We start from the raw sequence: 24,573 nt of genomic DNA on the forward strand, positions 1-24,573 counted from the left end.
CGTGCCATTGCACTCCAGCCTAGGCAACAAGAGTGAAACTCTTTCACAAAGAAGAAAAAAAAAGTCTTAAGCAGCTATCACCACTCTAGTAAAGCTAAGTATGTCTTCATTCCAATTTTAGCCGGATACTTACTAAGAATCAGGCACTGCCATTCTGTCATCAAAATGGAACAGATTTATTAGGATGCTCACAAGAATGGAGAACACATGAACTAGCACTCTCCTCATGTGACAGAGAGTACATCTGACCCACATGGTGGCAGGACACAGGGGAAGGGCTCTCAGAGCTGGTGCCAAGTGTCCACCAAAGAAAGTCCCATTCACCAGAGACAGGCTGTTTCCTTGGACTCCACCATCTCTGTTACAGCTACCAGCCAGGTCTCCATGATCTTCCTGGAATCCTTCATGCCAGCATCAGTTCATGCTCTCTGAGCTTGTCACTCCCGACTCTTTCAAGACCCAGGTCAACTGCCCCATGGCTCACCCACCCAGGCTGCCTCCGGAGTCCTGCAGCACATCTCTTTGGTATGCTGCTGCCCTGCTACCCTCAAGGGCATGGTTGTGGGTAGGGGGAGAACATCAACATCACATTACCAAAAGCAAACAGCAGGGGTACATTAGTAAACGACACTTGGACATAGCCGAACAACCTCACAGAACACATGCTTCCTCCCCAAATGATACCTAATCCCCCAAGAGCAAATGAAACCCCTTGATCACTTGAACACGTATGAATGATTCTGTGTGCCAGGCACAGGGACACACAATGAATGCTGTTTAATTCCACCACACCCCGCACACAACAGGAAGCTAGTGGCTGAAAGCTGGAACCAGATCTCTGTCCTGGCTCCATCAGCTTTCTCCTGGCTCTTTCTGCCTTTCAACGGTGCCACCACCCTGCTTCTGTCTGCTCTGAACACTTGTTCCAAAAAGGGAGGATAAAAGGATGAAGGATGGCAGAGGGAGGGAGGAAAGGAAGGGGGATAGCAACCCTGTAAAACAGAACAAAAACAACACAAAAATCCAGAAACCAGATTTAGTACTACATTTTATAACAATAGAGAGTAGCTGAAAATACTACATGCTAACACAGATAATATGATACACAACCTCAGGGGGGAAGCTGGCAGGGAGCACGTGGCAGAGGCCACAGGTTTAGACTAAGAGCCTTTCAATGGACTGCTGAATGGATTGGATCTGCTGTTTCAGCTGCGAGCCTTCTTTGATGGTGACAGAACAGGCGATGACAGGCCTGGAGACCCCACAGGCTCTCCCCAGGGCCTGCTTGGAGCGCACAAACACGTAGGGCACATTCTTGTCTTCACACAGCAGCGGCAGGTGCAGAATGATCTCCAGTGGCTCGGCGTCTGCAGCCATCACGATGAACTCAGAGATGCCCCTGTTGAGGGTTTTGGTGGCTGCGGAGAGAAGGACGTGAAGCTAATAGGTGATGTGGGCTTGGGCAGGGCAGCCACAACAAACTGGGAAGAATGCCTAGGCACACACAATTATGTGTCCTAGACCGGCCCTGGGATATGATAAAGGATTCAAACACCAGTCAGTCATACACAATGGCATTTTCTCAAGCCCTACATTAAATCCACCACTTATCCTCAAAACACGTCCTGAATCTGACCACTTCTTCTTCTTCTTTTTTTTTTTTGAGATGGAGTCTTGCTCTGTCACACAGCTGGAGTGCAGTGGTGCGATCTTGGCTCACTTCAACCTCCGCTTCCCGGGTTTAAGTGATTCTCCTGCCTCAGTCTCCCAAGCAGCTGGGATTACAGGCACGTGCCACTGTGTTTAGCTAATTTTTGTATTTTTAGTAGAGAGAGGGCTTCACCATGTTGTCCAGGCTGGTCTCAAACTCCTGACCTCAAGTGATCCACCCACCTCGGCCTCCCAAAGTGCTGAAATTACAGGTATGAGCCACTGTGCCTGTCCTAATCTGACAACTTTTTTCTTTCTTTTTTTTTTTTTTTTCTTTTTTTGAGATGGAGTCTCACACTGTCGCCCGGGCTGGAGTGCAATGGCGCAATCTTGGCTCATTGCAACCTCTGCCTCCCAGGTTCAAGTGATTCTCCTGCCTCAGCCTCCCAAGTAGCTGGGATTACAGGTGCCTGCCACCATGCCCAGCTAATTTTTTGTTTCACTATGTTGGCCAGGCTGGTCTCAAACTCCTAACCTTGTGATCCACCCACCTTGGCCTCCCAAAGTGCTGTGATTACAGGCATGAGCCACCACGCCTGGCCCTGACCACTTCTTTCTACTCCTCTGCTATACTCGTCCAAGTCACCATCATCTCTTACCTTGTCAACTGCAACAGCTTCCACAAACCCCCACCAGCAAGTAGTAGTATATTAATAATATAGTATTTCTCAAGGTATCTGTGACTGAGAGTCAGAGTTTTACCATCTCAATCTGCCATAATCAATACTTCTAGAAAGCTGATCCCACATGCGACTCACCATGCAAGTTCAACACCCCACAGCACCGTTTCAGATGCGTACTCTCCTGACTGCTTGCCTCTGTGGCTCAGTGCGAATACTCTGCATTCATGCTGGAGTACTTGAGAAGGGCACACACTCTAGAGCTACACTGTCTGAGTGCAAATGCTGGCACTCATTCTTGTTACACAAATGACCTTGAGCAAGGTGTTTAACTTCCCTTACTTTTATCATCTATAAAATAATTCTACCTAACAGGATTCTACCTAATAAAAAAAGAATTACCTAATTCTTTTTAACCTAATTCTTTTTTTTTTTTGTATCAAAGAAAATATTTTATTCAAGTTCCCAAAACAAACTTCAGGAGTTATGCTGGGTTTGAATTGAAGAAAAAAGGCCAAGTTAAAATAGGAAAACAAATGGTTTTCATTTGGTGGCAGCTGAAATCAAAGTATACATGTATATACATTCTAATCCATCATCTATCCCATGTGGCATTTTCCAAGGTTTTAAGAGTCTACCACGCCAAACCCTTTGCCACTTTCACTGCTTTTGCTTTGCTTTTCCCCTTTCTTTTCTCTCGCTTTGCCGTCAGCCTTTTTCTTTGCCTTTGGTTCATCCATATTGGGTACTGTCCATGCTGGTCTAGAAGAGTCTTTTTGTTTCTCTTAGTATCAGTCTCCCTTTTCATGTCATCTTTTTCATCTTTTACCTCACATTGCATTTTCTCTTGGCAATGTTTGGGTACCACCACAGTTGCTATCTCTTGAACATCTTTCATTAAAACATCACCGTCTAGTTTGAGAATACTTTTAAGCCTGCTGGCCTCCTTTGGGGCATTCTTTTTTCTCTTTTCAGCACGCATCTTTCTTTTCCACTTACTCCGTAAGCTTTTAGCCATGTTTCACCTGAGAAACGAACACCCACACCTCAGCTCTTTTTAACCTAATTCTAATTACCTAATAATTCTACTTAATAGGATTATTGAAAGGATTAAACCAGTTAATAAGAATGATGAGGCTGGGCATGGTGGCTCACACCTGTAATCCCAGCCCACTGGGAGGCTGAGGCAGGTAGATTGTTTGAACTCAGAGTTTGAGACCAGCCTGGGCAACATGGCAAAACCCCATCTCTACTAAAAATATAAAAAATTAGCCAGGTGTGGTGGCGTACACCTGTAGTTCCAGCTACCTGGGACGCTGAGGTGGGAGGATCACCTAAGCCCAGGAGGTCGTGGCTGCAGTGAGCCATGATCAATGCCAATGCACTCCAGCCTGGGCTGCAGAGTAAGACCCTATCTCAAAAAAAAGTAAAATAAATAATAATAATAATACCTGACACATGGCAAATGCAAAGCATGTTCATTTCTATTGATATTACTATAGCTTACTCACCCTACAAAAGTCATAGGAGTGACTCTTTTATAAGTGTTAAGTAAGATCATAGCAATCTTGCTGTTCAAAATCCTTCTACTCATTTACCATTGTACTCACTGCTAACAGTGGCCTACATGGTCTCATGTGATCTCCTAGTACCTCTCATCCCCACACTTAGTTCCAGCCACACACCAGCCTCCTTAGAATCCCTCAAGCATGCCTTTACACCATGCCCAAAAACGTTTCTTTCCAACACCCTCATCTATTCAGTTCTCTGCTCAAACTCCTCAGACAGACCTTCTCTGAATACTCCATCTAAAAAGACCCACCACTGCCATTCCTATCCCCCTTCTCTACTTTATTCTGTTTTACAGCATTCTTTTTTTTTTTTTTGAGACGGAGTCTCACTCTGTCGCCCAGGCTAGAGTGCAGTGGTGAGATCTCGGCTCACTGCAAGCTCCGCCTCCCGGGTTCACACCATTTTCCTGCCTCAGCCTCCTGAGCAGCTGGGACTATAGGCGCCCGCCACCACGCCCGGCTAATTTTTTGTATTTTTGGTAGAGATGAGGTTTCACCGTGTTAGCCAGGATGGTCTCGATCTCCTGACCTCATGATCTGCCCACCTCGGCCTCCCAAAGTGCTGGGATTACAGGTGTGAGCCACCGCGCCCGGCCTCTTACAGCATTCTTTACCACCAGGCATAAAACCTATGTCTTTCTCCACTGGAATGTATACTCCAAGAAGGCAGAGACTTCATTTTGTTCACCAGTGCATCATCAGCATATATACATGCGCCTGGCACATAGCAGGCAATCAATAAATATGGCAAGAAAGAATACCTGACACTGAGGCAGAAGTACGGAAAATTGTTGCATCTCCCTCCCTGAACTCCCAGTAAGCATATTCTGAATTAAGTCGCTGAGACTGAGCATCTCCATTCAAGGACCTGTGTGCTTATCACCGTGCAAAGTATGGCAAGAGGAAATAAGGTTGCTCTGTGTCCATGAGTCCTCATCTACCTGAAGTGTAAGAAGTCACATCCCTGCCCAGCCAAGCTGACCTGAGTGCATCAAGTGAGAAGAGAGACCTCCCAGGAGAGCTGGTGGGTCACCCTACAATGCCCCACTGGCCACTGCTATACCAGGCACTGCAGTTACTGCAGTGTGACGAGCAGGGAGGAAAGAGCACTACGACGAGACCCACAGAGTCTACTTTATCTTCCTTCAGCAACACAGGTAAAAGCGATTGTAATAGTTCTCCTAAATCTCAAACACAGTTGACAAAATCTCTGATGTTTCCATTAAAAATCTTCAACGACAAAAGAGCTCTACCACATCAAACTACCCAGCATCTATTAAAATGAGAGTATTCTGGCTGGGCATGGTAGCTCACGCCTGCTGTTATCCTAACACTTTGGGAGGCCAAGGCAGGCAGATTGCCTGAGCTCAGGAGTTTAAGACCAGCCTGGGCGACAGAGCGAGATTCTGTCTCCAAAAAAATAAAATAAAATAAAAATAAGGCTGGGCAGCCGGGCACAGTGGCTCACGCCTGTAATCCCAGAATTTTGGGAGGCCAAGGCAGGCGGATCACTTCAGGTCAGGAGTTCGAGACCAGCCTGGCCAACATGGTGAAACCTCGTCTCTACTTGAAAAAAAATAAAAATAAAAATAAGGCTGGGCACAGTGTCTCACGCCTGTAATCCCAGCAGCACTTTGGGAGGCCAAGGCAGGTAGATCACCTGAGATCAGGAGTTCGAGACCAGACTGACCAACATAGTGAAACCCCATCTTTACTAAAAATACAAAATTAGCTGGACGTGGTGGTGCATGCCTGTAATCCCAGCTACTTGGGAGGTTGAGGCAGGAGAATCATTTGAACCCGGGAAGCGGAGGTTGCAGTAAGCTGAGATCCTGCCATGGCACTCCAGCTTGGGCAACAAGAGCAAAACTCTCCAAATAAAAAAATAAATAAATAAATAAAATAAAATTAAAAAAATAATAATGAATAAAGTGAGAGTATCCTATATCACCTCTGGGCAGAAGCATCATGCATACATAATTATTCTACTGAAAAACAGCTTTTTTTTTTTCCTTTTTTACAAAGGGAGGTAGTGCTCGCTTCAGCAGTACATATACTAAAATTGGAACAATACAGAGAAGATTAGCATGACCCCTGCACAAGGATGACATGCAAATTCGTGAAACGTTCCATGTTTTTGAATAATTGCATCCAAAAAAAAAAGGGAGAGGGGTAGGGAATGTTTCTGGGAACCAAATGAAATTCATGAATGTTAAGTATCCACCGTATAAGGGATGCTAAAAAGCATTAATATCCCTTTCCTTCTGATGGCTCTGGTGAGGTCATACAGCCACTATACAGTCTCCACAACTGCTTTCAAATGGCTCAGCAAAAATAAAATTCACTTATAGAGTGAAAAAGAAGGTAAATGTGGCAAAATGTTAACAATTGGTGGGTCTAAAAAAAATTCTTAGCCCATCAGCTTTAGCATCTAATGCCAAAGTCCTCCCACTGGTTGTAGTCGAGAGCAGCTAGCCCTCCTCCCAAACTGGAAATCAGATCAGAGGCCCCAGATGGAAACAGGTGCCTTTAACATTCCCCCAGAGCATCCTGTGGCTGCCTTACCCTCATTGGCTCCTTTCCGAAGCTGCTTATAGTTACATGACTGCTGAACGAGGTCCAGTAGCTTCTTGGTGAGGTGGGCATCGGCAAGGGGATAGGCCTTTGGATTCACATCAGCCTCAGTCTATGGGGGGGACATAAAAATATCAGACAAATTGAGCCAGAAGTTTTCCTACCTGAGTCACAAAATACTAATCAACAATTGAGACACAGGGGGCAGCTGCCCTGCTCCCTAACCCTCAAACACACAAAACACCAGGTAGTTAACAATGGACTTTCCACTCCTACCTTCGAAAAAAAGGAAATACACTATTAGGAATTACACAGTTCAGTAAAGTATACTAAAGCTCATGTACTTTTGTCTTTCTTCAGCCGAATGTTTGATAATATTACAGCAAATGGATTACAAACGGGTTCCCATGGCTCCGCATCCATTTGAGTCCATGGCTAATCCATTTCTGTTTTTATTTTTTAGATGGAGTCTTGCTCTGTTGCCCACGCTGGAGTGCAGTGGTGCGATTTCAGCTTACTGCAATCTCTGCCTCCCGAGTTCAAATGATTCTTGTGCCTCAGCCTCCCAAGTAGCTGGGACTATAAGCGTGCACCACCATGCCAGGCTAATTTTGTATTTTTTGTGGAGACAGGGTTTCACCGTGTTGGCCAGGCTGGTCTCAAACTCCTGGCTCACGCCTGTAATCACAGCACTTTGGGCGGCCGAGGCGGGTGGATCACCTGAGGTCAGGAGTCCATGGGTAATCTTTAAATTTGAACTTCCGTATTCCACCTGAATTTACTGAATCAATAAGATATAATTTACAGTAAATGTAGCACAAAGTTTTCTTTCCATTCCCCACTCCATATGCGTATCTTCTGTTCAAACCCATGGTTTCCAACACATTAAAGTATTTCCTCACCTCCTCTACAATACACACAAAATGGTTCCAAAATTGCTACACCAATATACCACCTCTACCAACAAACTCACCAAAGTCAAAATTTATTTTTGTTCTTAGGATATATCCTATCAAAGCCATCCAGTGGCAGGACTTTGTTCAAAAGTTATTCAAATTAAAATTTTCCTTGTGGTTAGCAATTTGGTATACAAGTAGATTTATTTTGTAGTCAGCTTGCTTTAAATTTTATTTTTCAAATATGTAAAATATCTTCATGGTTTAAAAGTCAAAACTATGCAAGTGATAGCAACTCAATATTTTGAAAACTGGGAAAGGGAAACAATCATCTTCTGTGCCTTTCCTAAATGCTGTATTAGGCGGTAACCAGGTAGAAGATGAGAAGTACCTCTTGTATCACTCTTCCGCCTAATAAATAAAGAGGGAATGGTACAGTTAAATATCACCAACTTGCAACCCTTATTAACTAATTAATGGCATTTGCAGTTATGTTAAAAATTCTTACTTTATAGATATATACTGTAATACTTATGGATAAAATGATGTCATTCAGATCTGTGTCAAAATAACCCATGTAGGGGACGAGCGCGGTGTCTCACGCCTGTAGTCCTAGCTACTCGAGAGGCTGACGCAGAATAGCTTGAACCCAGGAGGCGGAGGATGCAATGAGCGGAGATGGCGCCACTGCACTCCAGCGTGGGCGACAGAGCGAGACTCCGTCTCAATAAATAAATAAATACACACCCATGTAGGGAGCATATTGGGTGAGTGGCCTGCCTATTCCGCTCCTTCCATCTCATTCCCACTGCTCCAGTAAATCATTTTCATTAATTTTTCTCTTTTTTTTTTTGTTTTTACAAACACATATTTATATACAAGGATATATTCATATTATAACCCAGGTGCGGCCCCACATGTCGCCATCGTGTGTAACGTGCGAATCGCGAGTGATTCACTGCGGCTACCACCTAACCTCGGCCTTGGAGGCTGGACATAGGGTGGACGGCAGTCGCTGGAGACGGAGATGGCCTGGTGGGACCACTCATCTATAGCGCCTGCCTCGGTGGTCTCCTGCCCGACACCGCGCACCTGCCTTTTCCTCCTTCCGTTTTTTTACAGCTTTTCTGACACAGCGGGACCACGCTCGCGGCACCACAGCTCTCGGGAGGTGACCCGGAGATAATGGCCCAGTAGGAACACTCACCATAGCGTCTGTCTTGGTAGTCTCTTGCCGGACACCGCGAGGATACCACGCGTGTCGGTTTGGACGGTCTGCTGCCCAGCACCGCAAGGACACGGATGCCCCGCCCCCAAGAGCAGGAAGTGACGCCACTGCCGCCAGCGGAAGTGACGTCCAGGGCCAGCCCGTACACCAGGACGCCCTGTCTTCTACGTAACTCCTTATCTTAGGCGAATTTGTCTTGGTCCCAGGACAACTAGGAAGAATTAGGTGAAGGATGGAGGAGTTCTCTAAAGGAAGGGGGTTGGGGGAGGTCAAGGGAAGACCTCCATATTATTTTTCTCTTCCTCATACATTTATTTATTTAGAGACGGAGTCTCCCTCTGTCGCCTAGGTTGGAGTGCAGTGGCGCGATCTCGGCTCACTGCAGCCTCAGCCTCCTGAGTACCTAGGATTACAGGTGACCGCCATCACGGCCGGCTGATTTTTGTATTTTTAGTAGAGACGGGGTTTCACCACTTTGGCCAGGCTGGTCTCGAACTCCTGATCTCAGGTCATCTGCCTGCCTCAGCCTCCCAAAGTGCTGGGATTACAGGCATGAGCCACCGCACCTGGCCATCCTTTCTTTTTAATGTCTATAGAGTATGTCTCCTTCACATGTTACCTACTTAAACATTTTCTTTTTTGAGACAGGGTCTCGCTCTGTCACCCAGGCTGGAGTGTAGTGGTGGCATCTTGGCTCACTGCAACCTCCTCCGGGGTTCAAGCGATTCTCCAGCCTCAGCCTCCAGAGCAGCTGGTACTACAGGCATGCACAACCACGCCCGGCTAATTTTTCTGTATTTTTAGTAGAGAAGGTCTTTCACCATGTTGGCCAGTCTGGTCTCCCAATTGCTGACCTCAAGTGATCCGCTTGCCTTAGCCTCCCAAAGTGTTGGGATTACAGGCGTGAGCCACCGTGCCTGGCCTTATTTTTTCGATTAATCTTTCTGAGGGGGACTTTCCTGGGCTCAAGTGGTCCTCCTGCCTCAGACTCCCAAGTAGCTGGGACTACATGCATGCACCACCACGTCTGGCTAATTTTTTAATTTTAGAGGCACTGTCTTATTATGTTGTCCAGGCTGGTCGTGAACTCCTGGCCTCAAGCAATCTTCCTGCCTGGGCATCCCAAAGTACTGGGATTACAGGTGTGAGCCACTGTGCCCAGCCCATTTATATATTTTTTAATCTTTCACTATTATGTAAATGCTATAATGTCTAATCTCATCTATACCTAATCTATATTATGTTTCATTCAGTATATCTGTAAGATAAACTCCTAGAAGTGGGATTAACGAGTCAAAAGATATAATATGCATTTGTAACTTTTATATCTATTCTAAATTGACCCTATATAGGGTTTAACAACTTGCACACCCACCAGCAATGCATGACAGTGACTAATTCCCCAAAACTTTGACAACAGTGTCAAACTGAACTAGCTTCGTTGCCTGGGGTAAATATCCAGGGTTTGTTGTCTCATGCCAAGAAAATTTAGGACATGGACACACAGGAGTTTAGGAGCAGGGTTTTTTTTTGTTGTTTTTTTTGAGATGGAGTTTTGCTCTGTTGCCCAGGCTGGAGTGTAGTAGTGCGATCTTGGCTTACTGCAACCTCTGCCTCCTGGGTTCAAGCAATTCTCCTACCTCAGCCCCCACCAGTAGCTGGGATTACAGGTGCGCGTCACCACACCGGGCTAATTTTTGTATTTTTTAGTAGAGACTGGGTTTTGCCATGTTGGCCAGGCTGGTCTCGAACTCCTGACCTCAGGTGATCTACCTGCCTCGACCTCCCAAAGTGCTGGGATTACAGGTGTGAGCCACTGCGCCTGGCCGGGAGCAGAGGTTTAATAGGCAAAAGAAAGAGAAAGAACAGCTCTCTCTGGTGAGAAAGAGGGGCTTCGGAAAGGAAAAGACCCAGCAGTATGCTCTACTTTCTATTTCAGCAATTTCTCCTTTTGTTTTTTTTCTTTCCTTCTACTTTCTTTGGGGTTATTTTGTGCTAGTGTTTTTTTCTACCTTTTTATCCCGTTTCTCCCTAGCATTAGCATCTTAGGCTCCAAGTAATACTTTCATTATATCCTTTCATTTGTTTCTTCCCCCCTCTGCCCTTGTCACTTATGCTCTGGTATGTGGTATTTTCATTATTGTTCTGTTCTATTTTTGAATTCCTACTACAATTTTTAAATCTCTCTGATAGTTTATATTTTTCATTTCAAACTACTTTGTTACTAATTTTTAACTTATTTCCTTTTGGGTTAGGCAAAAATGGTATGTAATATTACCAATGTTAAAATTTGCAGGGCTTGCTTTATGGCCAATTTTCAAAAACGTTCCATGTTTGAAGAGTGTATTCTGAACTGGCTGCAGTGGCTCAGGCCTATAATCCCACCAACTTGGGAAACTGAGGCTGGGGACTGATTGAGGCCTGAAGTTTGAGACCAGCCTGGGCCACACAGTGAGACCCCCATCTCTAAAAATATTTAAAAACTTAGCTGGGGCAGTCCAGGCACAGTGGCTCACACCTATAATCCCAGCACTTTGGGAGGCCAAGGTGGGTGGCTCTCTTGAGGTCAGGAGTTCAAGACCAGCCTGGATGACATGGTGAAACCCCCGTCTCTACTAAGAATACAAAAATTATCTGGGTGTGGTGGCAGGCACCTGTAATCCCAGCTACTTGGAGGTTGAGGCAGGAGAATGGCTTGAACCCGGGAAGCGGAGATTGCAGTAGGTTGAGATGATGCCACTTCACTCCAGCCTGGGCGAAAGAGTGAAACTCCATCTCAAAAAAAAAAAAAAAAAGAATTACACCCTTTTTGTTGTTGAGACAGGGTCTCACTCTATCACTGAGACCAGAGTGCAGTGGCATGACAATAGCTCACTGCAGCCTCGACCTCCAGGGCTCAAGCGATCCTCCTGCCTCAGCCTCCTCAGTAACTGGAACTACAAGTGTGGGCCACCACTCCTGGCTAATTTTATTTTATTTTATTTTTTATTTTTTGAGACGGAGTTTTGCTCTTGTTGCCCAGGCTGGAGTGCAGTGGCACAATCTCGGCTCACCGCAACTTCTGCCTCCGAGGTTCAAGCAATTCTCCTGCCTCAGCGTCCTGAGTAGCTGGGATTACAGGCATGCGCCACCATGCCCGGCTAATTTTTGTATTATTAGTAAAGACGGGGTTTCACCATGTTGGCCAGGCTGGTCTTGAACTCCTGACCTTGTGATCCGCCCACCTCAGCCTCCCAAAGCGCTGGGTTTACAGGCATGAGCCACTGCACCCGGCCAACTCCTGGCTAATTAAAAAAAAAATTGTTTAGGCTGGGTGTGGTGGCTCACGCCTGTAATCCCACCTCTTTGGGAGGCTGAGGCAGGCAGATCACTTGAGGTCAGGAGTTGGAGACCAGCCTGACCAACACGGCAAAACCCCGTCTCTACTAAAAAAATACAAAAAATAGCCGGGCATGGTGGCACATGCTTGTAATCCCAGCTACTCGGGAGGCTGAAACAGGAGAATCGCTTGAACCAAGGAGACAGAGGTTTCAGTGAGTCAAGATCGTGCCACTGCACACCCAGCCTGGGTGACAGAGCGAGACTCTGTCTCAAAAAAAAAAAAAAAAAAATTTGTAGAGACAGGATCTCACTATTTTGCCCTGGGTGGTCTCCAATTCCTGGGCTAAAGAGATTCTCTCGCCTCAGCCTCCCAATTTCTGGGATTGCAGGCTTGAGCCACAGTGCTTGGCCACATCCCGTCTTTTAACTGGAGCACTCAGTCCCTTTACATATTTAAGTATTGGTATAATGGTTTCAAATTTTCCTTCTTTTGTGCCTTCTATTTGTTCCACTTGTTCTGTTTCTTTTTCTTTCTTTCCTTTCTCTGGATTTATCATTGCATTTGCACTATTTTCCCCTCTACTGATTTGGAGTTTATTCTTTTATCTTTTTTTTTTTTTTTTAAGAGACGGCATCTCCCTCTGTCGCCCAGGCTGGAGTGCAGTGGCGCAATCTCGGCTCACCGAAACCTCTGCCTTCCATATTCAAGGAATTCTCCTGCCTCAGCCTCCCGAGTAACTGGGACTACAGGCATGCACCACCACGCCCAGCTAATTTTTGTATTTTTAGTAGAGATGGGGGTTTCACCATGTTGGCCAGGTTGAACTCCTGACCTAAGGTGATCCACCCGCCTCGGCCTCCCAAAGTGCTGGGATTACAGGTGTGAGCTACCACGTCCGGCCATACAAATGTTTTATTTGATACTACAGTAGGGATTTTTTTTTTCTTTGACACAGTCTTGCTTTGTCACCCAGGCTGTAGTGCAGTGGCATGATCTCGGCTCACTGCAAACACCGCCTCCCCGGTTATAGTGATTCTCCTGCCTCAGCCTCCTAAGTAGCTGGGATTACAGGCACGCACCACCACGCCTGGCTAATTTTTGTATTTTTAGTAGAGATGGGGTTTCACCATGTTGGTCAGGCTGGTCTTGAACTCCTGACCTCATGATCCACCCGCCTCAGCCTCCCAAAGTGCTGGGATTACAGGCGTGAGCCACCGTGCCCAGCTGGAAATTTTGGTTAATAATTTATCACAAGTTTTATTTATTTATTTTTTTGAGACGGAGTCTCAAACTGTCACACGGGCTGGAGTGCAGTGGTGTGATCTTGGCTCACTGCAACCCCCGCCTCCCAGGTTCAAGCGATTCTCCTTGCCTCAGCCTCCCAAGTAGCTGGGATTACAGGTGCCCACCACCACGCCTGGCTAATTTTTTTGAATTTTTAGTAGAAACAGGGTTTCACTATGTTGGCCAGGCTGGTCTCAAACTCCGGACCCCATGATCCACCCGCCTCAGCCTCCCAAAGTGCTGGGATTACAAGCATGAGCCACCGCGCCTGGCCCTGTTGCATGTTTTAAAATAGATATACTTAGAAATATTACATGGAACCCCCAAAGTATGTACAACTATGATATGTCAATTTAAAAAAACTTTAAAAATTGCCATTGTTTCCAACAACCCATTCTCTGGAAATCAGGATTCTCAAATCTCAATAAACATCAAATTCATAAAAGAGGAAGACTTCAGGAATCTGAACAATCATTAAATACCTAAATGTTTCACTATTAGTCAACAAAAAAGTTAAACTCAATTTTAAAACCAAACTAGCTTATAAACACTAATTGAAACTTGCTTAGGGTGTATTTATTTGCCTTTCAATTTCTTCAGGGGTTAAATAAATTAACGAATGATATCATACCACCAGCCAACCTAAATCCCTACCTAGCATGATCAGTTTGGTTTCGCTGTACACCAGACAGCCAAAACTTGCAAGGTTTTGATTGAACAACAAATACTGCGTGCTTACTCTGTACCAAGCATCAGGACTAGATGTTTACCATGCTTTATTTCATTTGATCCTCACAACACCCTCATGCACTGTCATCCCCATTTTACAGTTGAGGAAAACTGCAAAGTTCAACCTGAGACCATCCGATTCCAAAACGTTTCAGGGAGCTGCGTTAAAGCGAGCACTGAGTTTGGAAGCTTCAAGTTCTAGGCTCAGCCACGTACTAAGCTTCAAAATGCATGGGAGGAGGTTTGTGGGGAGTGCTACCGCCGGGATCCAAGCTCCACTGGAAGGATTAACTATAGAAGTTACAGTGCTTTACAAATTCTTCCCTCCTCACCAAGTGCCAACCAAAACTACTACGCCAGGACACACGTTTTAGAACTTTCCCTAGATGTTTAAAAGTCAGAGACGACCAAGAGTTTAGAGACGCCGCACGTGGTGCTACCAGACTTCTGGTTTTTGAAGCCACCGCCTTGCAGGAGAAGCCTTTCCTGCACTCCAGGCCGTGAGTCGCGCTCACTTCATGTTCCCCACAGCCCCCAAATGCCAAAGGCTCCTCTAGGTCCCTGGCGCGTGTGACTCGCGGCGGGCACTAAGCGCAGACCCATGGGAGATCTCCTCCTGAACCCCAGCAACGGGGGTGGGGTGAGGTAGGGTGGGTAGGAGAGGTTGATCCGAATCCCAGGGTCCCACGCCATCGTAGATTTCGTATGAAAAGAAACAAGGAAAAAAAAAAGTTGGAGCCAAGTTTTCTTCACCCAACTTTTTGCCCTCTCCCACGTGGGTTGGTCTCTTTCTCCCAGGCTGGGCCATGCCCCCTCCGCTCGCTGCAGGCCTTTTGCCAAGCAAACAGACCGTGCGGCAAAGCAACACAGCTGCGGGGATCCTAAGGTTTCCTGAGTTCTAACCTCGGGCCAGGCTGCTGGGACCCCGCCGCTGCTGGGGTTCTAACTAAGGGCCCGGCGGTTAAGACCCAACGCCGGCGGATGAGACGGCGCAGGCTCTAAGCCTCCATCTAACAGGCTAGGGAGTGAACGCAACCCTGAGTCTCCCGCTTCCCGGTCCCTCGGCCGGCGCACGCACTCACCATGGCTGCGGTTCCGCGGGCTCAGCACTCCTAGGGGAGCGCAGCTGACGTTTCAGAAGCACTCGCGTGCACCGGAAAAACTCACAGAAGCAGCAGCGGAAATGGCCCCGCGCGGCAGGAAGCGAAGGTGACGCTACGCGAGCGAGTGGGCCCCGCCCTCTACGGGGGCACTGGCGCGGAAACTGGCCCTGTGTCGAAGAAGGAACGTACTTTGGCGTTCTTATGAGCTGCCTAGTACAAATTATTGGCAGAAACAATGAATTAAACATTCAAAAAGTAACCCACCGGCCGGCCGCAGCGGCTTATGGCTGTAATCCCGGCACTTTGGGAGGCCGAGGCGGGCGCATCACCTGAGGACAGGAGTTCGAGACCAGCCTGGCCAACATGGCGAAACCTCGTCCCTACTAAAAAATACAAAAATTAGCCAGGCGTGGTGGCGGGCGCCTGTAACCCCAGCTACTTAGGAGGCTGAAGCAGGAGAATCGCTTGAACCCCGGAGGTGGAGGCTACAGTAAGTTGAGATCATGCCACTGCACTCTAGCACTCCAGCTGAGGCGACAGAGCGAGACTCTCAAAAAAAAAAAAAAAAAGGCCGGCCGGGTGCGGTGGCTCCCGCCTGTAATCGCAGCACTTTGGGAGGCTGAGGCAGGCGGATCACTAGGTCAGGAGATCGAGACCATCCTGGCTAACACAGTGAACCGTCTCTACTAAAAATACAAAAAATTAGCCGGGCATGGTGGCGGGCGCCTGTAGTCCCAGCTACTCGGGAGGCCGAGGCAGGAGAATGCCGTGAACCCCGGAGGCGGAGCTTGCAGTGAGCCGAGATCGCACCACTGCACACTGCACTCCAGCCTGGGCAACAGAGTGAGACTCCGTCTCAAAAAAAAGAAGAAAAAAAAGAGGGCCGGGTGCGGTGGCTCACGCCTGTAATCCCAGCACTTTGGGAAGCTGAGGCGGGCGGATCACCTGAGGTTGGGAGTTCGATACCAGCCTGACCAATATGGAGAAACCCCCGTCTCTACTAAAAATACAAAATTAGCCGGGCGTGGTGGCGCATGCCTGTAATCCCAGCTACTCGGGAGGTTGAGGCAGGAGAATCGCTTGAACTTGGGAGGTGGAAGTTGCAGTGAGCCGAGATCGCGCCATTGCACTCCAGCCTGGGCAACAAGAGTGGAAACTCGGTCTCAAAAAAAAAAAAAAAAATTCCAGCCACTAAACAGTTAAGGCCTGGCTCATTATAATTGGCTGACGTCCCTGCCTGCTCAGATATTTAATATTTTGAATAGAACTTTTGGGTAAAAGAGTCTTCAGGGTAACATTTATTTTCCCACCAACACTGATCCTAAGATGGGAAAAGTAATTCCCCCACAGGAAATCAGGATACTGCAAGCAACGAGAAAGGCATGTTGAGTGGTTAAACAAGAATACATGTATTCAATACAGTGTTCATTAAATGTTTGATAATAGAAGGACAGGCAGATCCAAGTATTTCATAGGAAGAAAGAAATCAAGCAGACCGCAGGTTATATCACCCCATCACACATTCAGGGAACTTAATCTTTTCATTCCAGAGGATGGGTTTGTTTAAAACAAGTTCTTCCTCCTAATTACTTTTGAACAATTCCCCAATACTGTCCTTACCTGCACCAAGAGCATGCTAACCAGGCCTGGCACCAGGGTCAGAGTTGAGGCTGGGGCATCAGCCCCCTTTGTGAGGTGGCCTCAGTGACAGGGGTGCTATGAGGTGGCGGCTATCCTACTGCAGCTGGCTGCATCAGATGTGCCAGGCCTGCCCTCTAGCTCCCAACACCATCTGCCTGATCTAAGCTTTGCCATGTTGTTGTCACTGCTGGGTGCCTGTGCTGTGGTGGGGCCATTCCATGGCCCTGAGTGGGAGCCAGTGCAGGGCCTGCTCTCCCAGAATCACAGCTGCAGGGACCCTCAGTGCTGTGGCAACCTGCTTGTCCTCTGCCTCTTTCTGGTCTGGCAGGTCCGGCACTGTTGGCACCAGGTCACCAGGACCCGCTTCAGCACAAGGAATGTCATCAAGGTGAGTGGGCCCCATACACCTTCACCCTTCTTCCCTCAGCACCATGATTGTCTCTGTCACTTGTTACAAGGACCTTGTTTTATGCCTGGTGTACCAGAAATGAATCAGAGGGAAACTCAGGCTGCTCAGGGAGAGCATCGGCCAAGCCCCAAACCCAGGAGTCACCCTGAGCTCCTCTCTTTCCCTCACTCCACACATTCAATCCATCTGCAGGTCCCAGGGGCTATACTTGCAAATTGTATCTCAAATCTGATCACTTCTAACCACACCACACCCTCCTGGGCAGAGACACCATCATGTCTCAACTGGACCATAGCAACAGCCTTCTGCCTGGTTCTTGCTGCTTCTCTTATCCAACCACAGCCTATCCTCCATACAGTCACCAGAATGGCCTTCTTCTTTCTCTCTCTCTCTCTCTCTCTCTCTCTCTTTTTTTTTCTGAGACAGAGTCTCACACTGTTGCCTGGGCTGGTGTGCAGTGGTGTGATCTTGGTTTGCTGCAACCTCCGCCTCCCTGGTTCAAGCGATTCTCCTGCCTCAGCCTCCCGAGTAGCTAGGATTACAGGCGCCCGCCACCACGCCTGGCAAATTTTTTTTTTTTTTTGTACTTTTAGTAGAGATGGGGTTTCACTTTGTTGGCCAGGCTGGTCTCGAGCTCCTGACCTTGTGATCTGCCTGCCTCGGCCTCCCAAAGTGCTGGGATTACAGGTGTGAGCCACTGTGCCTGGCCTCTTTTTTCTCTCTTTTAAAAAAAAAAATTGGTCCAAGGATAATACACACACACAATTACAAGTGTGTAGATCAGTAAATTTTCATAATTGAATACATCAGTTTGTAGCATGCAGATTAAGAAACAAATGATTACCAGCAGCCCAGAAGTTTTAGTCACAACTCTGCGGATTTCCTTTTCTTTTCCTTTTTTTTTTTTTGAGATGCAGTTTTGCTCTTGTTGCCCAGGCTGGAGTGCAATGGTGTGATCTCGGCTTACCTCAACCTCTGCCTCCCAAGTTCAAGCAATTCTCCTGCCTCAGCCTCCTGAGTAGCTGGGATTATGGGCATGCACTACCACACCCGTTAATTTTGTATTTTTAGTAGAGGCGAGGTTTCTCCGTGTTAGTCATGCTGGTCTCGAACTCCCGTCCTTATGTGATCCGCCTGCCTTGGCCTCCCAAAGTGCTGGGATTACAGGAATGAGCCACCACTCCTAGCCAACTCTGCAGATTTCTTTCTTGTTTTTCTTTTTTTTCTTTTCTTTTTTTTTTTTTTTTGAGATGGAGTCTTGCTGTGTGGCCCAGGCTAAAGTCCAGTGGTGCGATCTCGGCTCACAGCAACCTCTGCCTCCCAGGTTCAAGTGATTCTCTTGACTCTGCCTCCCTAGTAGCTGGGATTACAGGCATGTGCCACCACGCACAGCTAATTTTTGTATTTTTAGTAGACACAGGGTTTCACCATGTTGGTCTGGCTGGTCTCGAACTCCTGACCTCAAGTGATCCACCCACCTTGGCCTCCCAAAGCGTTGGGATTACAGGTGTGAGCCACCACGCCTGGTCGACTCTGGATTTCTTTCTTTCTTTCTTTCTTTCTTTGAGACGGAGTCTTGCTCTGTCACCCAGACTGGAGTGCAGTGGCGCGATCTCGGCCCACTGAAAGCTCCACCTCCCGGGTTCATGCCATTCTCCTGCCTAAGCCTCCTGAGTAGCTGGGACTACAGGTGCCCGCCACCATGCCTGGCCAATTTTTTTTTTTTTTTTGTATTTTTAGTAGAGACGGGGTTTCATCGTGTTAGCCAGGATGGTCTCAATCTCCTGACCTTGTGATCCGCCCACCTCGACCTCCCAAAGTGCTGGGATTACAGGCGTGAGCCAGTGCACCCAGCCTCTTCTTTTTTTTTTTTTTTCAGATGGAGTCACGCTCTGTCACCCAGGCTGGACTGCAGTGGCGTGATCTTGGCTCACTGCAACCTCCGCCTCCTGGGTTCAAGCAATTCTTGTGCCTCAGCCTCCTGAGTAGCTGGGATTACAGGCATGCGCCATGATGGCTGGCTAATTTTTGTATTTTTAGTAGAGAAGGGGTTTTGCCATGTTGGCCAGGCTGGTCTGGAACTCCTGACCTCAAGTGATCCACCCATCTTGGCCTCCCAAAGTGCTGGGATTACAGACATGAGCCACCATGCCCTGCCATCAGAACAAACTTTTAGAAACAGAACATAGCACTTAGCTGCTCAAAACCCTGCAATGGCTCCTATACTTACATTATCTGGCAAACTCAGAATAAAATTCTCGCTCCTAATCACGACTCTAAGGACCAGCATAATCTGTCCCATGTTTGTCTCCGATCTTATCTCCCAGTGCTCTCCTCATTACTGGTTCCATTCTGGCCACACAGTCTTCTTTGCTGTTCCTGTACATGTAATTTTGTTCCATCCTCAAGCCTTTGTACTTAATGTCTCTTCTGCCTACAACGCTCTTTCCTCAGATGTCACTTGGTTTGCCCCTTACTTCATTCAGGCTCCAGTCAAATGTCACTTCCTCCAAGAAGCCTTTCCTGACTATTCTGTCTGTGCGGATTATGCAAGTTATTATGTGTGCAAGGATTTTGCTTCTCTGTTCTCATCTACAGGTGCCACTGCAGAAGCGGGCAGTGCCCTCCATGAGGTGCGAAACTGTCTTCAAGCTGACTCCTGAATTCTTCAGTCCTGGAAAGTCCAGGGGCCTAGATTCTCAACAATGCGCACAAAGGCAGAGATGGGGATACCGGAGGAGCCTCCAGGAATCATGGGCCCAGAACCTGCTCTCTCCACAGCACCCATGTCCAGGCCCACCTTCGGGTGTCCACACCCACTCTGAGCCCATCTTTTGTACCACCTCCATTTCAAACACCTGTTTACTGCCTCAGAACAGTTCCTGGAAAGCATGGCAGGTGCCTTGGTGTCTCCATGATGGTCAGACTCGCCCTGCCTTGGACATGTGTCAAGAGATGGAGCAGCTGCTGCTTCACTCACAGGAAAGGTTGGTGTCACTGGAGCCTGTCATCAGTGTGAGGTCTCGCCCCACCTCCATGACCTTAACCACCTCTCTTCCAAACTTACTTTCAGCTGAGAGGCTGCAGTTCTGCCCCCAGAGAGCTCCTGCCTGATCCTTCCCACCAAACACTGAGAATGTGCACTTGGAAGTCTTGGCACTGTCGACCAGAGGCCTGGGAACCAGGGGGTAAAAACCAGAAAGCAGGCAGAGAGGATAGTAGAGAGACCCAGGCTCCAAGGTGGGTGAACCAGACAGGGAGCAGACGGGAGGATGCTTCAGAAATCCAGGCATCTGGGGAGTAGTTCCCAGTAGACTTTGGAATGGAGGGTGATGCAGAGACTAACGTGTTGGAGTGTGCAAACCAGAGACTAGTAATAAGTGAAACTGATGGCGAGATCTTGACACCAGGGTGGGACACCCAGGACCGGATGGGAGTTGAGAGTAGAACCAACATTCAGGAACTAGGGAATAGAAACCAGAGGGAGGCTGGAGGTGAGAATCTCCCTGAAACCCAGGCACATATGGGAGAGAACCAAGAACAGTTAAGATGTAAAATTGATGCAGAGACCCAAACACCTGAGTGGGAGAACCAGGATAAGAATGGAAGTGAGGATGCTGTGGAGACCCAGACATTTGAGAAGAAGGACAAGAAAGAGGCTGGAGAGGAGGATGGGGAAGAGATCCAGGCTCAAGGATTGGGGAAGCAAGGCCAGACTGGAGATGAGAATGGTGAGGAGACCCAGACACCACAGTGGGAGAAACAAGATCAGATGAAAGGTGATGCGGATGTGGAAATTCAGATGGAAGAGGGGAGAAACAAGGATCAGGTTGGAGGTCAGGATGCTGCACAAACCCAATCATGTGGGAGGGAGAACGTGGGAGAAGTAAAAAAAGAGAATAGTGTAGAGACCCAGGCCTTGGATTGGGGAAAACAGGAATGTGTTGGAAATGGGAATGTTACAGAGATCCAGACACCAAGGTGGGAGAAGCATGATCAAGGTGGAAGTAAGAAAGCTAAGAAGACCCAAGCATCTGGGGGAGAGAACCAGAAACAATTAAGTCATGAAATTCAAGTGGGGTGGGGAAATAAGGGCCTGAGAAGAGATGAAGATGCTAAGGAAACCCAGATAGCTACCAAGAAGAAGCTCAGGGAGATAAGAGAAGGATTGGGTGGTGATCCAGGCACTATGGTGGGGAAACCGGAGACAAGTAGCAAGTGAAATTTATAGAGAATTTGAGATACTATGTTGGGAGAATCAGAACTGGATTGGAGGTGAACATAGAGCAGAAATTCAGGCATCAGAGAAGAGAGACCAAAGAAAGGATGGATGTGAGGATGGCACAAATATCCTGGCACCCGAGGCTGAGATCCAGGAACAATTAAAAGGTGAAACTGATGTGGAGACTCAGAGCAATGAGCCACTTAGAGAAGAGGATGGTACAGACATTCAGTCACTAGGGAGGAGAGAGGTTAAAGGTGAGGATGATAAAGACACCCAGGAACTTGGGAGGAAAAATCAGGGTCAGTTAGGAAATGAATTTAGTGGAAAGATTCACATACCAAAGGGGAAGAATCAGGAACATATTAGAGGCGAAGATGGTGCACATACCCAGATATCTGAGTCAGGGAACTGGGGCAAATTAACAAGTCAAATTGATGGAGAAATGCATTCAGCAGAATGGAAGAAAGATCAGCAGATTGGAGGTGAGAATGGGGCAGAAATTCAGATACAAGGGAAGAGAAACCTGAGAGAAGTTGGAGGTGAGGACGGTGTAAAGACCTGGGCACCTGGGAAAGAAACCCAGAGTCAGTTTAGAAGTGATCTTGGTAGAAAGATCCTTTTATCAGAGTGGAAGAGCCAGAAGCAGATGGGAAGTGAGAATGGAACAGAAATTCAGGCTCCAGTGGAGAGAAACCAGAGAGAACCTGGAGGTGAGGACGGTGTAAAGACTCAGAGACCTAAGAGAGAGAACGAGGACCAGTTAGATAGTGAAATTGGAGGGAGCCATTCACCAGGGAGGAGGAACTGGGAGCTGATTGGAAAGGATGTTGCAGAAAATCAGGCATCAGAGAAGAGAAACCAGAGAGAGGTTGGAAACGAGGACGGTAGAATGATCTGGAGGCTTAGGGGAAAAAACTGGAGGCTTAGAGCGAAGAAACAGACTGTTAAAAAGTAAAGATAATGGAAAGACCCGTTTATCAGAGTGGAAGAACCAGGAACAGGGTGGAGGTGGGAATGATGAAGAAATTCAAATACAGGGGAAGAGAAACCTGAGAGGGACCACAGCTGATGATGGTACAGAGACCCAGGCTCCTGCAGGAGATGACCAGGGACAGTTAAGAGTTGAAATTGCTGAAGAGATCCAGGTACAAGGGCAAGGAAATAAGAATGACGGTGGAGTTGAGGATGTTGCAGAACTCCAGGATATAGGAAGCCAGAGAAAGTGCACAGATGAGGATGTTGGAGAGCCTCGAGCACCAAGGGGAGGAAACAAGGATCTGGTCAGAGGAGAGGATGCTGTGAGGGACAGTCTCCAAGTCGACTGTTCTGGGAGTGAGAGGCCCACAGGCAGGAAGCACAGCCTACCATGGCCTCCAGCCTTCACTGGCTATGGATGTGGGACCCGGGAACAGGAACAGGCAGTGGCTGTGAATGGTTTCATCTCTGCCCCCTGTCCTGAGATGAATCCTGTCCCCCACTGGGGTGAAGTCTTCCTGCTGGTGGGTGGGGAGGGAGAGCATCTGGCCAGCCAGGGCACAACCCCTGCCAGGGATCATAGAGTGGGGATCAGTCCAGCCTCCCAGCAGGCCCAACCTGAATCCTGGAGAAGACGACAAAGGGACAAAGGGGTGGATCCAGAGAAGGCCCCCAGCCTGACTCGGCAGTCCCAAAACCCTCCGTCTCTGACAGCTCCCTTGGGCATGCCCTCTGCCTGCTCCTGTCTCCCGTGTGGCCCAGCCCCGGAAGCTGCCATCATTCTAGCGGGTCCTCCCACCGCCCTCACTGTCCTGCCCAAGGGGACAGGCCTCAAGAAGAGCAAACGACTGCTCCTGGAGTCCCTCATGCGGAGGAGGATTGCACACCTGAAGTGGGGTCTTCCCCGGCGGATCCTGGAGTCCTATTTCCTGTTTAACTTCTTAGGATCTTGCTCATTGACCCTTGCTGGGGCGAGGCTCTCTGGACTGAACACAGGCCAGGAGCTCCAAGCCCAGCAGGAAAGGTATTGTGAGGCCCAAGGCTCCCCACCAGGCCTTAAGTCCCCAGAGAGGTTCCAGAGGGTTCAGCGCCCAGACAGAAAAAGCTCGAAACTTCCTATACAAGCCAGAGCTCTGGAGAGGAACAGACCGCACATGTCAGAGCCCATTAAGCATTTCCATCCAGCCTGAAAAGGCCAGGAGAGTCAGGCCACCAGGGGGCGCCAGAGAACCACAGGAGATCCAGGAAGCGCTTGCTAGGACCAAGCTCCCAGCTCCCAGGACCCCCAGGCCGGCAGCGGAGTCCAGGAGCTGGTGTGGCCCACAAAGGGTCGGAGAGCCTCCCAGTGAGAACAGTAGGGGCAGGAAAATGATCAGGTCAAGGGTCTCCCAGCTGGCAGAGAGGGCTCCCAGCAGAGTGAGGACTTCATTCTCTAGGGCAGACCACGCCCACTGGAGGAAGGAATGTACATCCTGGGAGGCCTCTAAGCTCCCCAGACTCAAATGCCAGCAGCTCACATACTGGAGAAGAGGAAGCCTGGAATCTACAGGGTGCAGAGGGGCTGGGCAGCAGCCTTCCTGCCATTCTGCAGAACCTGTCAGCTTCAAAGGGAGGCTCCACTCTGCGGTGGCAAAGCTGGGCCTGACCCTTCTGGCCAAGATGTCCTGGTCCCCACAGCTCGCCAAGCGCAAGCACTTGGCCCCTAACCTGAGCCTGAGGGAACCTGATTCTACTCTGCCTCCCAAAGTGGGTGATCCTCGTGCAGGGGAGGACAGCATCGGAGATCACACTGCTTCACAGAGGGATCTTCAGCTGCAAGGTCACTGCTGTACTGGGGCCACCCTTCCTAAGACAGAGAGTCCCCAGGGCCAGGAGGCACCTGGGAACCCAAATGGGGCTCCACAGAATACACGAGCCTCCAAAAAGTTTAGTATTATGAAGCATCTGAATTTTTTTCTCTTCCAGAATGGCTTTAAAAAGTAGACTCAGGCCCAGAGTCCTCAGGACATATCAGAAAAGCTTTGAGAGTGTCCTGATCCCTGCAAAGCCTCTAATAAATTGGTCATTTGGGCCCTGTGGTGTTCTGATTTCTCTGGCACATTTTCCAAGTGCCCCCTTTCGGGGTTTGGGATACTTTGTGGGTGGGGTAGAAGCCCCTTCCACTCTGTGGTTGTGGTTTAGGGAATGTGGGTCAACCCAGTGTCCTCTCCGAAACACCTGCCCCCCAGCTCCTCACAGTGGAGTCCACTGAGGTTCTATCCTGCTCTGTCTCCAAGCTAATCCTGA

General features: G+C 48.2%; 2 protein-coding genes and 2 pseudogenes across 5 annotated transcripts, besides 5 other annotated features; 2 read left to right on the top strand and 2 right to left on the bottom strand.

Annotated features, from left to right (window-relative positions):
* SNU13 (small nuclear ribonucleoprotein 13) lies at window positions 156-16,703 on the bottom strand. 3 transcript variants are annotated; one of them, NM_005008.4, is made up of 4 exons: window positions 15,017-15,090; window positions 8,579-8,810; window positions 6,467-6,587; window positions 156-1,418 (listed from the first exon to the last, which is right to left on the bottom strand). In NM_005008.4, the coding sequence occupies exons 2-4, from the start codon at window positions 8,579-8,581 to the stop codon at window positions 1,156-1,158; spliced, it is 387 nt and encodes a 128-aa protein (NP_004999.1). In that variant the 5' UTR covers window positions 8,582-8,810; window positions 15,017-15,090; the 3' UTR covers window positions 156-1,155. The 3 variants fall into 3 exon arrangements, with proteins under 3 accessions (NP_004999.1, NP_001003796.1, XP_016884300.1); NM_001003796.2 differs by lacking the exon at window positions 8,579-8,810; XM_017028811.2 differs by lacking the exons at window positions 156-1,418; window positions 6,467-6,587; window positions 8,579-8,810 and adding exons at window positions 13,941-14,550; window positions 16,658-16,703 and having other exon boundaries at window positions 15,017-15,204.
* LOC107985567 (protein LLP homolog) lies at window positions 1,425-3,383 on the bottom strand. Its single transcript, XM_047441692.1, has one exon. It carries the CDS (start codon window positions 3,346-3,348, stop codon window positions 2,965-2,967), a length of 384 nt encoding a protein of 127 aa, XP_047297648.1. The 5' UTR covers window positions 3,349-3,383; the 3' UTR covers window positions 1,425-2,964.
* On the top strand, window positions 5,934-6,040 carry RNU6-476P (RNA, U6 small nuclear 476, pseudogene; annotated as a pseudogene).
* Window positions 14,290-14,459: an enhancer, noted in NCBI's record as "active region_19125". NCBI's record gives its function as "activates an Ori minimal core promoter by ATAC-STARR-seq in GM12878 lymphoblastoid cells {active_cell/tissue: GM12878}" and the evidence as "EXISTENCE:reporter gene assay evidence [ECO:0000049][PMID:35858748]".
* Window positions 14,571-14,770: a silencer, noted in NCBI's record as "fragment chr22:42084352-42084551 (GRCh37/hg19 assembly coordinates)". NCBI's record gives its function as "represses an EF-1alpha promoter that drives an FKBP-Casp9 reporter gene in an ReSE screen in K562 erythroleukemia cells {active_cell/tissue: K562}" and the evidence as "EXISTENCE:reporter gene assay evidence [ECO:0000049][PMID:32094911]".
* Window positions 15,010-15,189: an enhancer, noted in NCBI's record as "active region_19126". NCBI's record gives its function as "activates an Ori minimal core promoter by ATAC-STARR-seq in GM12878 lymphoblastoid cells {active_cell/tissue: GM12878}" and the evidence as "EXISTENCE:reporter gene assay evidence [ECO:0000049][PMID:35858748]".
* C22orf46P (chromosome 22 open reading frame 46, pseudogene) lies at window positions 15,160-24,359 on the top strand (annotated as a pseudogene). Its single transcript, NR_160905.1, has 4 exons — window positions 15,160-15,527; window positions 17,007-17,066; window positions 19,686-20,074; window positions 20,161-24,359. The product of NR_160905.1 is annotated as a chromosome 22 open reading frame 46, pseudogene (transcript).
* Window positions 23,016-23,095: an enhancer, noted in NCBI's record as "active region_19127". NCBI's record gives its function as "activates an Ori minimal core promoter by ATAC-STARR-seq in GM12878 lymphoblastoid cells {active_cell/tissue: GM12878}" and the evidence as "EXISTENCE:reporter gene assay evidence [ECO:0000049][PMID:35858748]".
* Window positions 23,106-23,485: an enhancer, noted in NCBI's record as "active region_19128". NCBI's record gives its function as "activates an Ori minimal core promoter by ATAC-STARR-seq in GM12878 lymphoblastoid cells {active_cell/tissue: GM12878}" and the evidence as "EXISTENCE:reporter gene assay evidence [ECO:0000049][PMID:35858748]".
* Window positions 24,360-24,573: the final 214 nt, after the last annotated feature.

Source organism: Homo sapiens, chromosome 22 (genome assembly GCF_000001405.40).
Source record: "Homo sapiens chromosome 22, GRCh38.p14 Primary Assembly".
Lineage (NCBI taxonomy): Eukaryota > Metazoa > Chordata > Mammalia > Primates > Hominidae > Homo > Homo sapiens.

What these genes read in the sequence shown, in the direction of transcription:
- LOC107985567 (XM_047441692.1), bottom strand. Translation starts at nt 3,348, where the DNA reads ATGGCTAAAAGCTTACGGAGTAAGTGGAAAAGAAAGATGCGTGCTGAA.
- SNU13 (NM_001003796.2), bottom strand. An exon ending in TCGGAAAGGAGCCAATGAGG is followed by an intron (nt 1,419 to 6,466) that starts GTAAGGCAGCCA and finishes TTCTCTCCGCAG; the next exon opens with CCACCAAAACCCTCAACAGG.